Source organism: Homo sapiens, chromosome 11 (genome assembly GCF_000001405.40).
Source record: "Homo sapiens chromosome 11, GRCh38.p14 Primary Assembly".
NCBI classification, from domain to species: domain Eukaryota; kingdom Metazoa; phylum Chordata; class Mammalia; order Primates; family Hominidae; genus Homo; species Homo sapiens.
The window spans coordinates 118,578,748-118,595,085 of record NC_000011.10 but is presented as its reverse complement, the minus strand read 5'-3'; the positions used below and the strand labels follow the sequence as shown (position 1 = coordinate 118,595,085).

The 16,338-nt window shown below is 42.8% G+C and overlaps 1 protein-coding gene and 1 pseudogene across 13 annotated transcripts in view, besides 1 other annotated feature; both read right to left on the bottom strand.

Moving 5' to 3' along the window:
• Window positions 1–16,338, bottom strand: part of ARCN1 (archain 1 coat protein complex I subunit delta) — a 30,625-nt gene that overhangs the window by 7,948 nt on the left and 6,339 nt on the right. For 3 of the 13 annotated variants that reach the window (NM_001425076.1, NM_001655.5, NM_001425078.1), the window contains 7 exons: window positions 13,577–13,840; window positions 11,728–11,907; window positions 11,072–11,277; window positions 10,442–10,606; window positions 4,580–4,745; window positions 2,230–2,377; window positions 1,388–1,496 (listed from right to left, as the gene is read on the bottom strand). In NM_001425076.1, coding sequence (NP_001412005.1) covers window positions 1,388–1,496; window positions 2,230–2,377; window positions 4,580–4,745; window positions 10,442–10,606; window positions 11,072–11,277; window positions 11,728–11,907; window positions 13,577–13,774 — 1,172 coding nt within the window. In that variant the 5' untranslated portion in view covers window positions 13,775–13,840. Of the gene's footprint in view, window positions 1–1,019; window positions 1,083–1,387; window positions 1,497–2,229; window positions 2,378–4,579; window positions 4,746–10,441; window positions 10,607–11,071; window positions 11,278–11,727; window positions 11,908–13,576; window positions 13,841–16,338 lie in introns of all 13 variants that reach the window. The other 10 variants (NM_001425074.1, NM_001425079.1, NM_001142281.2 and 7 more) reach the window with 8 other exon arrangements.
• RNU6-1157P (RNA, U6 small nuclear 1157, pseudogene) lies at window positions 993–1,098 on the bottom strand (annotated as a pseudogene).
• Window positions 4,050–4,260: a silencer, noted in NCBI's record as "fragment chr11:118461541-118461751 (GRCh37/hg19 assembly coordinates)". NCBI's record gives its function as "represses an EF-1alpha promoter that drives an FKBP-Casp9 reporter gene in an ReSE screen in K562 erythroleukemia cells {active_cell/tissue: K562}" and the evidence as "EXISTENCE:reporter gene assay evidence [ECO:0000049][PMID:32094911]".

The window sequence follows — 16,338 nt, the reverse complement described above, 5'->3', positions numbered from 1 at the left end:
TTGAGGACAGGAGTTTGAGACCAGCCTGGCCAACATAGTGAAACCCCATCTCTATTAAAAATACAAAAATTAACTGGGCGTGGTGGCACACGCCTGTAATCCCAGCTACTTGGGAGACTGAGGCACGAGAATCGCTTGAACCTGGGAGGTGGAGGTTGCAGTAAGCCAAGGTTGCACCACTGCACTGCAGCCTGGCTGACAGAGTGAGACTGTCTCAAAAAAATAAAAATAAAAATAGCCAGGTGCGGTGGCTCACGCCCATAATCCCAGCACTTTGGGAGGCCAAGGCGGGCAGATCATCTAAGGTCAGGAGTTTGAGACCAGCCTGGCCAACATGGTGAAACCCCGTCTCTACTAATAATACAAAAATTATCTGGGCATGATGGCACATGCCTGTAACCCCAGTTACTCGGGAGGCTGAGGCAGGAGAATCACTTGAACCTAGGTGGTGGAGGTTGCAGTGAGCCGAGATCACATCATTGCACTCCAGCCTGGGCAACAAGAGTGAAACTCAGTCTCCAATAAAAATAAAAAATAAATAAATAAATAAAAACAGCTCCAGATCTACAACTGGCTTGTTCAATTTGGTTTTAAAGTCAGTAAAATCCATCCCTTCCAAGTGCTCAATGTATTTCAACAAGTGTATGCAGTAAGCACCACCACAATCAAGTCACAGAGCAATTCTTGGCTGGGTGTGGTGGCTCACGCTTATAATCCCAGCACTTTGGGAGGCCGAGGCGGGCAGATCACTTGAGCTCAGGAGTTTGAGATCAGCCTGCACAACACAGCAAAACTCCGTCCCTACAAATAATACAAAAATTAGCCAAGCGTGGTGGTGTGCGCCTGTAGTCCCAGCTACTCGGGAGGGTGAGGCAGGAGGATAGCCTGGGCCTGGGAGGTGGAGGGTGCAGTGAGCTGAGATCGTGCCAGTGACCTCCAGTGACAGAGTGAGACTCTGTCTCAAAAAAACAATTTCCTTGCTTTACTTATTTATAAATATGAAATGTTTCATAACTTACATGTCAGCCTTGCACAGGGCCCATGCTAATCTTCTCTGTATGGTTCCAATTTTAGTACCTGTGCTGCCAAAGCAAACACAAGTCCTAGAACATTCCTATCATTCCCAAAAGTTCCCTTGTGCCCCTCTGAAGTGAAGTACCTTCTTCTCTACCTCCTCATTTTTATTCAATAGTATTACCTTTTCCAGAAAGACAAAGAAGTGGAATCACATAACATGCAGCCTTTTGTATCTGGCTTCTTTCACAACTAGCTTTTTAAAGAAGTATCTTTGAATGGACAGTCAGGTCAGGTAGGTGCTGACTCCAAAATGAGTTCCAAAAGACCAGTTCTCTAAGTCCACCGTAGAGGACACAGGGACAGCACTTACGGGAGTGGGATGGTGATAACCACATCATTCAGTTCTAAATTATCTTCTTGTAGCTCATATTCTATGTTGACATCACAGCCATTTCCACTCTCCGAGGGCCAGCAATTAACTGAGGAGAAAGCAAAGCAGTCATACTAGAATATTAGAAAAAGATGGCTGGGTGCAGTGGCTCATGCCTGTAACCCCAGCGCTTTAGAGGACCAAGGTGGTAGGATCGAGGTGGGAGGATTGGTTGAGGCCATGAGTTCAAGACCAGCCTAGGCAACAAAGTGAGACTCCACCTATACCAAAAAAAAAAAAAAAAAAAGCCAGGCGTGGTGGCACTTCCCTGTTCTCCTAGCTACTCAGGAGGCTGAGGTGGGAGATCAGCTGAACCCAGGAGTTCAAGGTTGTAATGAGCCATGATCACACCACTGCACTCCAGCCTGGGTGACAGAGGGAGTTTGTGTCTTTTAAAAAAAGTTAGCTGGATGTGGTGGCATGTGCCTATAGTCCTAGTCCCAGCTACTAAAGAGGCTGAGGCAGGAGGATGGCTTGAGTCCAGGAGTTTGATGCTGCAGTGAGCTATGATTGCCCCACTGCACTCCAGCCTGGGCAACAGAAGAAGACCTTGTCTCTAAAACAATAACAACAACAAAACTACAATGGTTTCAAAATGAAAGCTATTAAAAATGAAAACTAATGATAAAAATATACAAAATGCAGCACCAGGTCCATTTCAAAAGAAAGTCATTTTGTCAGAAAGAACTTTGCTATGGTAATAAAAATAAAAGTGTACCAGCAAGGGCTATTTCTAGTTCTCAATGCAAACTAGCTTAGTGGGACTGGCCAGAGGCACTTACTTGTCAGTGGAATAAAAGATTCCTCTGTGGTTTGTAGTCTCCACTTTAGCACCCCTACGTCACTGTTGACTGGAAATGACTTCTCTGGATTCTTCAGGCCAATTAGAGACTCTGCAGTGAAAAGTTTTTTATCCACATTTGGATGGGTCTAGAATGAGAGGGAAAGGAAAACTCCTGAGGTTCAGATAGACGAGAAACAACCCCTCACTAGGCTTATATGGCCCACAATCTAAACATCCAAAATAGAGTACCTAACAAATTCCAATTCTTTTTCATTTTGAAGAAAGATTTCCCTTCTTCAAAGACTTATTTTAAAATGATTTAAGATACTTAAAAACTAGTAATTTTTTAAAAAAAAAGCTAATTTCAACTCTAAAAGCCATTACAGAACAAGTTTGCACCTGAAAAAGTTAAAAGACTATTAACCAAGTTCTTTCCAAAAATACTTCACAGGGAGCAGGTTCATGGTGGGGCCAGGTTTGCCAAGCAGAAGGCTCCAGTAAGACCCTGATCAGCTGCCTGGGTCAGACAGCAGTTCTGGCCTTATATAAAGTAGCAGAAAAGGGCAAGCTCTGTGTAAAGTCTAGTTGCAATTTTGCCTAGAGACTTAAAGTTGTTAAAATCCAAGCCAATTAAGATAGTCTTATCTTTTTAAAAGAAATTGCTTTTGGGGAGGCTGAGGTGAGAGGGGCATTGAAGGTCAGGAGTTTGACATCAGCCTGGCCAACATGGCAAAACCCTATCTCTATTAAAAATACAAAAGTTAGCTGGGGCTGGACATGGTGGCGCACGCCTGTAATCCCACCTACTCGAGAGGCTGAGGCAGGAGAATGGCTTGAACCCGGGAGGCAGAGGTTGCGGTGAGCCGAGATCACACCATTGCACTCCAACCTGGGCAGGAAGAGTGAAACTCCGTCTCAAAAAATAAAAAATAAATAAATAAATAAATAAATAAATAGCTGGGTGTGGTGGTGCACACCTATAGTTCCAGCTACTATGGAGGCTGAAGAGGAAGCATTGCTTGAGCCTAGGAGGTTAAGGCTGCAGCGAGCCAAGGTTGTGCTGCTGCACTCCAGCCCGCATGACAGAGAGAGACTGTGCAAAAACAAAAAAAAAAACAAAAAAAAGAACAAAAAAACAAGACAAAAACAAAAAAAACCCAGAAGGGCTGGGCATGGTGGCTCATGACTACAATCCCAACACTTTGGGATGATGAGGTGGGCGAATCATGAGGTCAAGAGTTCGAGACCAGCTTGGCCAACATGGTGAAACCCCATCTTTACTAAAAATAAAAAAAATTAGCTGGGCATGGTGGCAGGTGCCTGTAATCCCAGCTACTCAGCAGGCTGAGGCAGGAGAACTGCTTCAACTGGGGAGGCAGAAGTTGCAGTGAACCAAGATCGTACCACAGAACTCCAGCTTGGGCAACAGAGAGAGACTCCATCTCAGGAAAACAAAACAAAACAAAACAAAACAGAAATCACTTTTGGATAGCACTTTACAAGCCAGCAAAAATGTCAAATAATATAAGCACTGCTTCCAAAAGACAATTCTGTGCTGACTACGGTGGGGAAAGTAGACAAAAACACTCTTCCGTAAAAAGGCTTTGTTCTTGTGACGAGATGTCGGCTAAATGAAATGAAATTACAAGAACACCTGTAACATAAAGCAGGGCTTATATATATCTATCCAATAGTTGGAACACACACACTTATATTGAAAGGATTTTATGTACTTTTCAAATACACCATTAGATACTGCCCTTCAGTTAACAAAACAAGCACTGGCAGTTTATTTAATAGCAGAATGAGTAAATTTCGCATTGTGCCACCACGCCTGGCTAATTTTTTAAGTTTTTGTAGAGATAGGGTCTTGTTGCTCAGCCCTCATTGCTCAGGCTGTTCTTGAACTCCTGGGCTCAAGCGATCCTTCAGCCTCAGCCTCTCAGAGTGCTGGTATTATAGGCATGAGCCACCACACTTGGCCTAAAGCCTTGTTTTTTTAAAACTGTATTTCAAGCAAGATCCTAAGTGATTAATTTACTGTTTTCATAACAGCAAAAGACAAACACCTCCTTGTACCTTTTATTGGTGAGTATGAAGTCATTTATTAGATTTCGAAATGACCTTTTATTCAATTCCAATATTTAAAAGCCATCCTTACACAGCTGCTTTACTCACTCTCAGGTAGCTACTGTATGCAATATATTAACTTCTTTCCTAAGCGTTTAGAGTGATGCTAGTTATATAACTTAAGTAATTTTCTGTGGTTCATATTGGGAACTCTAGTTGAGAAAGACTATAATAGGTAGACAAAGTGTTAATACTCCCTATCAAAAGCTTCTACACACCTGTAGCTGCACCCCTTTCTTATCTTCATTTTCCACATGAAGACGAATTCGGCCATACTTGTCATCTGAGATCCTAAGCATGATCATGCCATGCAACTCCATATTCTGTAATCCTCCGTCTCGTCCACAGGTTAATGTTATCTTTTCTTCAATCTTCATATGTACACTATAAAGAGAAAGTAATACATTTGTTCAGAAAGGTAGAAACCAATGGCCGGGCGTGGTGGCTCATGCCTATAACCCCAGCACTTTGGGAGGCCAAGGCGGGCAGATCACCTGAGGTGGGGAGTTCGAGACCAGCCTGACCAACATGGAGAAACCCCGTCTCTACTAAAAATACAAAATTAGCCAGGCGTGGTGGTGCATGCCTGTAGTCCCAGCTACTTGGGAGGCTAAGGCAGGAGAATCGCTTGAACCACGAGGCAGAGGCTGTGGTGAGCCGAGATTGTCCCACTGCACTCCAGCCTGGGCAACAAGAGTGAAACTCTGTCTCAAAAAATAAAAAAGAAAAGAAAAGAAAAAAGAAAGGTAGAAATCAGAACTCCCTTTCTCCAAGGTCTAATGATTAGCCATCAACAACGTTTTTTTAAAGGTGCTACTGCTATAGCTATCAACATTTAAAAGGCGATACCCTTTGATACAGCAATTCTTCAACAGACTCTATCCTACAGATAAATTCTCACCTGTGCAAAACAATCTGCTAAGTTATTCACTGAAGAATTGTTTGTAATGGCAAAAGTTTAGAAACATGTCTGCCAATAGGGGGCTGCTCAAATAAAGGCATATTCACGGGCGTGGTGGCTCACGCCTGTAATCCCAGCACTTTGGGAGGCCAAGGCGGGTAGATCACGAGGTCAGAAGATCGAGACCATCCTGGCTAACATGGTGAAACCCCACCTCTACTAAAAATACAAAAACAAAATTAGCCGGGTGTGGTGACGGGCGCCTACTCAGGAGGCTGAGGTGGGAGAATGACGTGAACTCAGGAGGCGGAGCTTGCAGTGAGCCGAGATGGTGCCACTGCACTCCAGCCTGGGCAACAGAGTGAGACTCTGTCTCAAAAAAATAAAAAATAAAAAATAAAGGCATATCCACCCGAATGAATAGTAGGCAATGGTGAGAAAACAAACAACTGAAAAAACTTTCTATTTGTAAGTATTTTCAAGCTTAAAAAAATTAAAATTATACAAGGAAGACATATATACCCTTTTCCAGATTCACCTATTGTTAATATTTACCTCATTTGTTTTATAATTTGCACTTGTGTTTCTCTCTCTCTAAACATTATATATGTATGTTATACATTTGATTTTTTTTCCCTGAACCATTAAGAAGCAGATTATATACAACACGGCACTTTACCCCTAAATACTTCAGTGCTTATTTTATAAGATTAGGGATATTCTCTTACATAATCAATCACAGTACCATTATTAACTTCACAAATTTACACTGATAGTTTTTTTAGCTTTTTGTTGTTGTTGTTTTGAGATAGAGTTTCACTCTTCTTGCCCAGGCTGGAGTGCAATGGCGTGATCTCGGCTCACTGCAACCTCTGCCTCCCGGGTTCAAGTGATTCTCCTGTCTCAGCCTCCTGCGTAGCTGGGATTTCAGGCACCTGCCACCACGCCCGGTTCATTTTTGTATTTTTACTAGAGTCAGAGTTTTACCATGCTGGCCAGGCTGGTCTTGAACTCCTGACCTCAGGTGATCTGCCTGCCTCGGCCTCCCGAAGTGTTGGGATTACAGGCGTGAGCCACCGCACCCAGCCTGTTGTTGTTGTTTAAGAGACAGATCTTGCTATGTTGCCCAGGCTGGAGTGCAGTGGCTATTCAGAGACACAATCACAGTTCACTATAACCTTGAACTCCTGGTCTCAAGTGATCCTCCTGCCTCAGCCTCCTGAGTAGGAAGGACTACAGCCATGTGCCATCATGCCAGGCTAACAATGATACAATAATTGTATCCGATCTGTCAACCATATGTCAATTTCGTCAGTTGACCTAATAATATTTTTAATAGTAGTTGTGATATTATGATATACATACATACCGGTTTTCATCCATGGTTCCTAGCTCATAACTCCCATATCCCTTATTATACATAATGTTGGGGCACTTTAGGCCTCAGGAGCAGCCCTTAGAAAAAAGAACCTCTCTTTGACCTTCTCCTGCCCTCCTTTCACCAGCCCAAGGCAGGATCTCCAAAAGGGGTCCTGCACCATATCCTGGAGGAAGATTAATGCTGCACAGAGAGGCCAAGAATTTGGACAGGCCTTGCTGTGTTTCCCCACTCAGCCTATCAGTATTAGGTCATACCCTTGCCCAGTCACATTTCTGCATGCCTGTCAATCATGCCTATCCAATGAAGTCTCCATAAAAGGCTCAAGAGGACAGGGTCTGGGAAGCTTCTGGACAGCTGAACACATGCAGGCTTACAGGAAGATGAACAAGGTCTCATCTATTTTCCAGGAGGGTGGCGTACCCCAGCTCCCTGGGGACAGAAGCTCCTGTGCTCAAGACCCTCCCAGACCTTGCCCTATGTATCTCTTCATCTGGCTGCTTATTTGCATCCTTTAAAATGTCCTCTGTAACAAACTGATAAATGTCAAGTAAGTTTCCCTGAGTTCTGTGAGGTGCTCTAGCAGATTAATTGAACACCCCAGAGGGGGTCGTGGGAGGCCAAACTTGAGGTCAGTAAGAAGTTCTGAAAGTCTGGACTTATGACTGGTGGGAAGGAAGAATCAGTCTTGGGGGACTGAACTCTCAACCTGTAGAATCTGAGGCTATTCCCAGGTAGATAGCATCAGAATTGAATTGAATTGGAGGACACCAGCTAGGTGTGACCGCTTGATGTGTGCGGAAAAATCTAAACACACTTGATCACAGAAGTCTTCTGTGTTCATTGTTGCTGTTGAATGAGAAAATAGAAAAAACAAACAGTTTGAGTTGTTTTTTCTACACTACATTAGTAGAGGATCCAGTCTAGGGTAAGGTATTGCGCATTTAGATGTCATATCTCTGCAGTTTCAAATAAGGAGATTCTTATCTCCAAAATAATTAAATGAAAAATGCAATTGGAAGACGTGTCTAGTTTTACTGCTTTGCATAAAAGGGGGAAAAATAGACACACTGTATACATGTTTTTTATTCATCTGTATATCACAGACCATCCCCCTTAGAAGGATACACAAAAAACTCTGTTAATACTAGTTGTCTCCAAAATGAGAAACTGGCATGGCTGAGTGAGAGGAAGACTTCTGACTGTTAACAACTTTTGAATTTTGTACTATATGAATGTATAATCCAATTTTTAAAAGATTAAAAACTGCTGCTGCTAGAGGCAAGTATTAAGTACAATCTATTCATATTCAGTAATAGACATACGTTTGGCTGGATGAACTACAGAGGCTACAAAAAATATTTTGTTATCCTACCATGTTCTTTGTTCCAACCTCTTAGGTCTTCCTAGAAACAAAGGCATCAGAGTCAAGACCATAAAGGAGTGCATCTTAAGACAATGCATGGTACCATTTTACCTTCACAAAAGTTTGCTCTGTGCTCAAGAGGCAATTTATCATTTAGAAAAAAACAGTGTCTCAAATTCTCTTTAATATGTGATGATCTCCAACATTTTTTTTTTTTTTTTTTTTTTGGAGATAGAGTCTCACTCTGTCGCCCAGGCTGGAGTGCAGTGGCACCATCTTGGCTCACTGCAACCTCTGCTTCCCGGGTTCAAGCAATTCTCCTGCCTCAGCCTCCTGAGTAGCTGGGACTACAGGTGTGTGCCACCACGCCCATCTAATTTTTTGTATTTTAGTGGAGAAGGGGTTAATTTTTTGTATTTTAGTGGAGATGGAGTTTCACCATGTTGCCCAGGGTGGTCTTGAACTCCTGAGCTCAGGCAATCCGCCCACCTCAGCCTCCCAAAGTGCTAAGATTACAGGTGTGGGCCACTGCACTCAGGAATATCTTTTTAAAAGTGTGAAGCCTCTGTCTCACTCAAAGCAACCACTAGGAAGAGCACAGCGGCTTTAGTGAATCAAGAAATTTATCCCAATGTAACCCTGTTCATTTCATACAGAACAGGGCATATAAAGAGTAAATACTTGGCTGGGCACGGTGGCTCACGCCTATAATCCAAGCACTTTTGGGAGGCAGAGGCAGGCAGATCACTTGAGGTCAGGAGTTCGAGACCCACCTGGCCAACACGGCAAAACTCTGTCTCTACTAAAAATAAGAAAATTAGCCGGGTGTGATGGCGTGCACCTGTAATCCCAGCCACTTGGGAGGCTGAGGCAGGAGAATTGCTTGACCCCGGGAGGTGGAGGTTGCAAGATCGTGCCATTGCACTCCAGTCTGGGAGACAGAGCAAGACTCTGTCAAGAAAGAAAGAAAGGAAGAAAGAAAGGAAAGAAGAAAGAAAAAGAGTAAATACTCCTCTTTTATGCACACCTGATAAAGGTATCCTCCTGGTATTATCTTTCACTTGACCTCAAAACCATCAGCAACAGTAGAAGGTCTGGCTTCAAGACGAGAAATCTGAGTCACGAATATGTGAACTTGATAACTACCACTTAAAAATGTCACCAACCAGTACCACAGCCCTGAGATAAGAGATGAATCAAAATATTCCATACTGGCTTCAAATATTTAAACTGCAAAAGATGGCTGGGCATGGTGGCTGACGCCTGTAATCCCAGTACTTTGTGAGGCCGAGGCAGGCAGATTGCTTGAGTCCAGGAGTTCGAGACCAGCCTGGGCAACAAGGCAAAACCCCATCTCTACCAAAATACAGAAATTAGCCCAGCGTGGTGGTGCATGCCTGTAGTCCCAGCTACTTGGGAGGCTGAGGTGGGAGAATCACTTGAACCTGGGAGGCAGAGGTTGCAACAAGCTGAGATTGCACCACTGTACTCCAGCCTGGGTGACAGAGTGAAACCCCATCTCAAAAAAATAAATAAATAAAATAAAAATGCAAAATATATTAATTTGCTATTAAAGATATCTACAAGTTTTGGATTAAAGATTGGTTCTACTTAGACTTTAATTAGAAAAAGTCATGCCAAAATACAGTGTGGGGTCACCATAGCTCTAGTCCCCTAATTCAAGTGCATTCTAAGAGATACGCTATATACCAGGTGTGACTACAAGTAACTTTAATTTAGCTGTAAAAGGAAAGTTCTAAACTTCATAGAAAATAGGTGGCTGAGGGCCCCCAATCATGGTTTAAGGAAAAAGGAAAAGGTCAGGTGCAGCAACGCATGCCTGTATCCCAGTTACTTGGGAGGCTGAGGCAGGAAGATTAACTGAGCTCAGGAGTTGGAGGCCAGCCTAGACAACATAGTAAGACCCTGTCTCAAAAAAATAAAACAAAACAACAGCCGGGCGTGGTGGCTCACGCCTGTAATCCCAGCACTTCGGGAGGCTGAGTCAGGCGGATCACAAGGTCAGGAGATCGAGACCATTCTGGCTAACACGGCGAAACCCCATCTCTACTAAAAATACAAAAAAATTAGCCGGGCGTAGGGGTGGGCGCCTGTGGTCCCAGCTACTCGGGAGGCTGAGGCAGGAGAATGGCGTGAACCTGGGAGGGAGAGCTTGCAGCGAGCCGAGATCACACCACTGCACTCCAGCCTGGGTGACAGAGTGAGACTCCATCTCAAAAAAAAATAAGTAAATAAAACAAAACAAAACCAAAAACGATCTTATGTTAATATGTAGAATCTGCTCTGAATAAATCTTTTAAATCAGGAACGATTAAAAGACAGAGAAAGAATTTATAGCACACTGAAATAAGATTTTTAAAAAATTATGTGGACTGTATTCAAAGCTTGAATTCTTACTCAAAGTTCCTACTTACCTTTCCATATTAATGGGTGGAGCATGCATTTTGGTTGCTTCAGAAGTACGCTTGCCCATACTAGAGGACATGATGGTTTCACCTTCAGATTTTAATTTGTCCACAAAGTTATCTACTTCCTTTCCTTTGGCTCCAAGTTTTAAAGCCTTGCTGGGGCCTGAAGGCCTAAGTGGAAGAATTTGAAATTCATTACCCAAAGGTTTATTTTTACAAGCACACATGATCTGATGAAAATTTTGTATCTCCCGTCCAGAGAAATACACCTGTGCACAAAATTTTGTATATAATTTTGGGTAATTCACAGATTTCCCCTAAAATCAATCAATGAACATCAAGATTAAAAATCTACATTCCATAAAGCATTAAATAGCCCTTTCCTCCCCACAATAAGGCAACTCTCATAGGAAACTGAGGTCATGACATAATTTATAACTCTCTTTTATACAAAAGGAAAAACACCACATTCAGATTTCTTCTTTATCCTCATATTGTATGTGGCCAAATGTAACATCATATCTTACTTCATCAAGTCCTTCTTTATTTACAGCTTTCCAAGAAATCAGATTATGACTTCAAAGATAGACACATATACACCCTTCACCTGGTATTCTAAAGTACACTGGATTATACCTGGCTGGTGCAGGTGCCACTTTTGGTTTATCAGTTTCAATGATGGTCTCTGTGATCATGGCAGCTGTGCTGCCTCCAGATACTGCAGAGCTGCCAAATCCGCCAAATCCTGGTGCTTTTTTGCCCTGTCTCTCTGCATCTCTTCGGGCCTGTTGTAATTCCTTTGCTTTACGACGCATCTCAGCCTTAGCTTCACGTTCTTGAGTCTACAGAAAAAGACATACATTAATGTAGCTTTTTTTTTTGGGTTTTTGTTGAGACAGGGTCTCACTCTGTGACCCAGGCTGGAGTGCAAGTGGCACAATCACAGCTCACTGCAGCCTCAACTTCCTGGGCTCAAGTGATCCTCCCATCTCAGCCTCCCAAGTAGCTGGGACCCACATGCACGTGCTACCATGCCTGGCTAATTTTTTTTTTACTTTTTATAGAGACAGGGTCTCACTACGCTGTCCAGTCTGGTCTTGAACTCCTGGACTCAAGTGATACTCCCACTTCCGCCTCCCAAAGTGCTGAGATTACAGACATGAGCCACTGTGCCTAGCCTGGACATAGTTTTGAATACAGTCTACATTAGTAAGTAAAAATAGGAAAATGAGATTAGTGAAGCCTAAGAGAAAGACATACAAACAGGTAGTCCCAGAGAAGATCCTATTTACCTCTCTGACGGCTCTGAACACCTTCTCCTCATGAGAATCCATTTCTGTGAAGGTTCTGATCTGTGCCAAGTTAACATTCTCCCGGTATCCCAGTGCGACAATTTCATCAAAAGCAAAAATCAAATCAAAACAGTGCTCAGATATTTCATTCTCTTCTAAGGCTCGGCAATATTCAGGGATCTAAGCGTGGACACCAATAAAAAAGAAAGATTTAGAATTTATCAGCAGCTATATTTCCAAGTCTTATCCTTTAGAGTACATAAATTTCAATAACCTAAATCCCTTTATTAGCTACTTCTAGTCTTTATTTTATTTTTTGGGACAGAGTCTCGCTCTGCTGCCCACGCTGGAGTGCAGTGGTGCCATCTCGGCTCACTGCAACCTCCATCTCCTGGGTTTAAGTGATTCTCCTGCCTCAGCTTCCGGAGTAGCTGGGACTACAGGTGTGTACCACCACGCCCAGCTAATTTTTGTATTTTTAGTAGAGACGGGGTTTCACCATGTTGGCCAGGCTGGTGTTGAACTCCTGACCTCAGGTGATCCGCTTGCCTCAGTCTCCCAAACTGCTGGGATTACAGGCGTGAGCCACTGCGCCCAGCCTAACTCCCTGATTTTTTTTTTTTTTTTTTTTTTAAGACAAAGTCTAACTCTGTCACCCGGTCTGGAGTGCAGTGGCACGATCTCGGCTCACTGCAACCCCCACCTCCTGGGTTCACGCAATTCTCATGCCTCAGCCTCCTGAGTAGTAGGATTATGGGTGCCCGCCACCATGCCCAGCTAATTTTTTTGTATTTTGAGTAGAGACGAGGTTTCACCACGTTGGTCAGGCTGGTCTCAAACTTCTGACCTCAGGTGATCCACCCGCCTCAGCCTCCCAAAGTGCTGGGATTACAAGCGTGAGCCACCACGCCCAAGACCCTGATTCTTACAGCCGGGTGCAGCGGCTCATGCCTGTAATCCCAGCACTTCGGGACGCCAAGATAGGCAGATCACCTGAGGTCAGGAGTTCGAGACCAGCCTGGCCAACATGGTGAAACCCCGTACAAAAATTAGCCAGGCATGGCGATGCACATCTGTAATCTCAACTACTCGGGAGGCTGAGGCCAGAAAATTGCTTGAACCTGGGAGGTGGAGGTTGCAGTGAGCCGAGATTGCACCATTGCACCACTGCACTCCAGCCAGGGCAAGAGCGAGACTCCGTCTTTAAAAAAAAAAGAATCAGGGTCTTGCTGTGTTGCCCACACTAAAGTATAATGCCTGTGCACTTGAACTCCTGGCCTCAAGCAATCCTTCTGCCTCAGCCTCCTGAGTAGCTTGGACTACAGGCACATGCTACCGCACCTGGCCTTAGCCTTCATTTTAAGCAAGACTTTGGCATAAAGTCTTAAAAGGTGTGTGTGTGTGTGTGTGTGTGTGTGTGTCTGTCTGTCTGTCTGTCTCTGGATCAGTAAGTCTTACCTAAGTCTTCATTTTAAGCAAGACTTTGGCATAAAGTCTTAGAAGAGGGGTGTGTGTGTGTGTGTCTGTCTCTGGATCAGTAAGTCTTACCTAAAAAACATTACCTAAAAAGCATAGCCAAACAAGTGTCAGAACTAGAACGGCAGATTAGAACAACTGCTTAAGAACTGGGAAATGAAACAGTAGTTCCCATATTCTTTTGAGACATCTATAGTCTAAGAGGACACCCAATAAATGTCTGCTGAATAAACAAGGTGCTGCAGCAATAAGTCGCTGGGGTGCGGAGTAGGAACCTGCAAACTGGTTAGCATCAGCTGCTTTGGAGGAAAAACTAGTTTCACATAAAATGTAAAACAAAAAGTGGAACCCAGTATTATAGCAGTACTCTTACCACTCTTGAGAAGAGCCTTAGGGTCTCCAAATCTTCTAAAATGTTGCTGTTTTTGGTAGTGATCAGTACCATATACAGTTTCTCCATAGGCTGGTAGACATATCTTACACTCTCTGTTTCAACAAACGTATGTTGTTTTCCAGTGTTCATGAGCTTTGGAAAAGCTGCTAATAAGCCCTCAATCCGAGTTCGGGTCATTTCCACAAACTGTCGAGAAACAATAGCCTTTCCTGCTTTTGTGCAGACCGCTGCTGCCAACAGCACCTGCCAGGAACATATGCATAAGTAAGTACTAATTATTTCTTCACATCTGTTTTCTCAGCATCTCAGGAAATGTTCCATAGAATGACATATTTATTTAGTGACATGACTAGTAGTAGTATTATTTTTAAGACAGGGTCTCACTCTGTCACCCATGCCGGAGTGCAATGGCAAGACCACAGCTCACTACAACCTCAAACTCCTGGGCTCAAGAAATCCTGAGTGGCTGGGACTACAAGTGTGTGCCACCAAGCCTCGCTAATTTTTAAAAAGCTTTTAGTAGAGACAGTATCTCGCTATGTTTCCCAGGCTGGTCTTGAACTCCTGGGTTCAAGCGATCCTCCTGCCTTGGCCTCCCAAAGTGCTGGGATTATAGGCGTGAACTACCACGACCAGCTGACATGACAAGTAATAGAATACTGACTTTCACGGGCACAGTGGCTCACACCTGTAAACTCAGCACTTTGGGAGGCCAAAGCGAGTGGATTACTTGAGGTCAGGAGTTCGAGACCAGCCTGACCAACATGGTGAAACCCCATCTCTACTAAAAATACAAACACATTAAGAGACTTAGACATGTCAATCAATCACAATGTATAAATCAAATTTGAACAGTGACTGAATAATTGATAATATTAAAAATTATTGCTAATTTTTTAGGTGTGAAAATATGCTATCATGGTAATATATTTTTATGTAAGGAATACTTATATATTTTTAAAAAAGAGTTGTGTAGTTTTGAATCCTTCCATAGTCTCTCATATTAAAGGTGCTCCCTCAATGACTTTATATTGAACTAAAATAATTGTCTGGGATACATCTTATCTTCAAACTACGCTAGTTTTGCATGTAGTACTAACAAAAGGTCACTGGATTTAGTAATTATCCTGAGGATCAGAATTCACAATTTCTTTCTTTTTTTTTGGAGACAGGGTCTCACTTTGTCACCTAAGCTGGACTGTAATGGTGCAATCTTGGCTCACCGTAGCCTCAACTTCTGGGCTTGAACAATCCTCCTGCCTCAGCCCCCTGAAAGGAGCTGGGACTATAGGCAGGTGCCATCATGCCTGGCAAATTTTTGTATTTTCGGTAGAAGTGGGGTTTCACCATGTTGCCCAGGCTGGTCTTGAACTTCTGGACTCAAGTGATCAGCCCACCTTGGCCTCCCAAAGTGCTGGGATTACAAGCATGAGTCACCACGCCTAGCCAGAACTCACAATTTCATGTGTTGAATATCAGTTACAAAATATTCCTTTTAAAAGCAACTATCCTAATATTATATAAATGGGTTTTTATGACTTGGGATAAAATTTCCCAAACTGCCAATATATCACACATGGATTCAAAACTGCTAAATACCAAACTGATGATTCAAAAAGTGGCCCCAGTGATGACATGATGTTCATAAAGAATCTAGAAAAAATTGTTTTATTAATATGAAAATGGAAAAAAGTAATTATTTCTAAATTAAACTTTATTTATTTAAAACATATACATATAAGTGAATTATTAACTATTTTAAGAACATATTTGACTATTTTTGCTACCTTTTTTTTTTTTAAGATGGAGTTTTGCTCTTGTTGCCCAGGCTGGAGTGCAATGGCAAGATCTCCGCTCACTGAAACCTCCACCTCCCAGGTTCAAGTGATTCTCCTGTCTCAGCCTCCCGAGTAGCTGGGATTACAGGCGCCTGCCACCACGCCCGGCTAATTTTTTTTTTTTTTTTTGTATTTCTAGTAGAGATGGGGTTTCACCATGTTGGTTGGCCAGGCTGGTCTCAAATGCCTGACCTCGGGTGATCTGCCCACCTCGGCCTCCCAAAGTGCTGAGATTACAGGCATGAGCCACCGCCCGGCCTATTTTGGCTGCATTTTAAAAAGTTTATACAATTGGCAAAAAGCTTTCCTTCTTAATAGTTTCATCAGAAAAGTAGGGAATTCCCTTATATTTGGGATCATTTCACATTGGTTTCTCCTTTTCCTAAAGACTTAGAACTAGTGTCCCAAATTTGCAAAGAACCAAGCTGATATTAGAAAAACTAAATGACTGGGAGTGAGAAAATCTATTTTCTAGTTTTGTTCTTCTATTTACTATCTGCCTGACCTTCAGTTACCCAACCTCTCTTAACCTCGTTTCTTTTCCTATAAAATGCAGCATTATCTAATGACCTTACAAGCTATTATGAGGGCCAAATGACTATAATGAAACTGTACTTCAGAAGTGCTATACAACTTGTAGCACATATATTCATGATGTAAAACAGCACCATTAGTAATAATAAACATGCATCTCATGAAAAAAATTTATGCCACTTCAAGGTAATGGATTTTTCTTTTTTTATTAAAAAAAAAAAAAAAAAAAAAAAAAAAAAAAAGAGAGACGGGGTTTTGCCATGTTGCCCAGGCTACAAATTCCTGGGCTAAAGTGATCCGCACACCTCAGCCTCCCAAAGTGCTGGGATTACAAGTGTGAGCCACAGCATCCGGCCAAGGCAATGGATT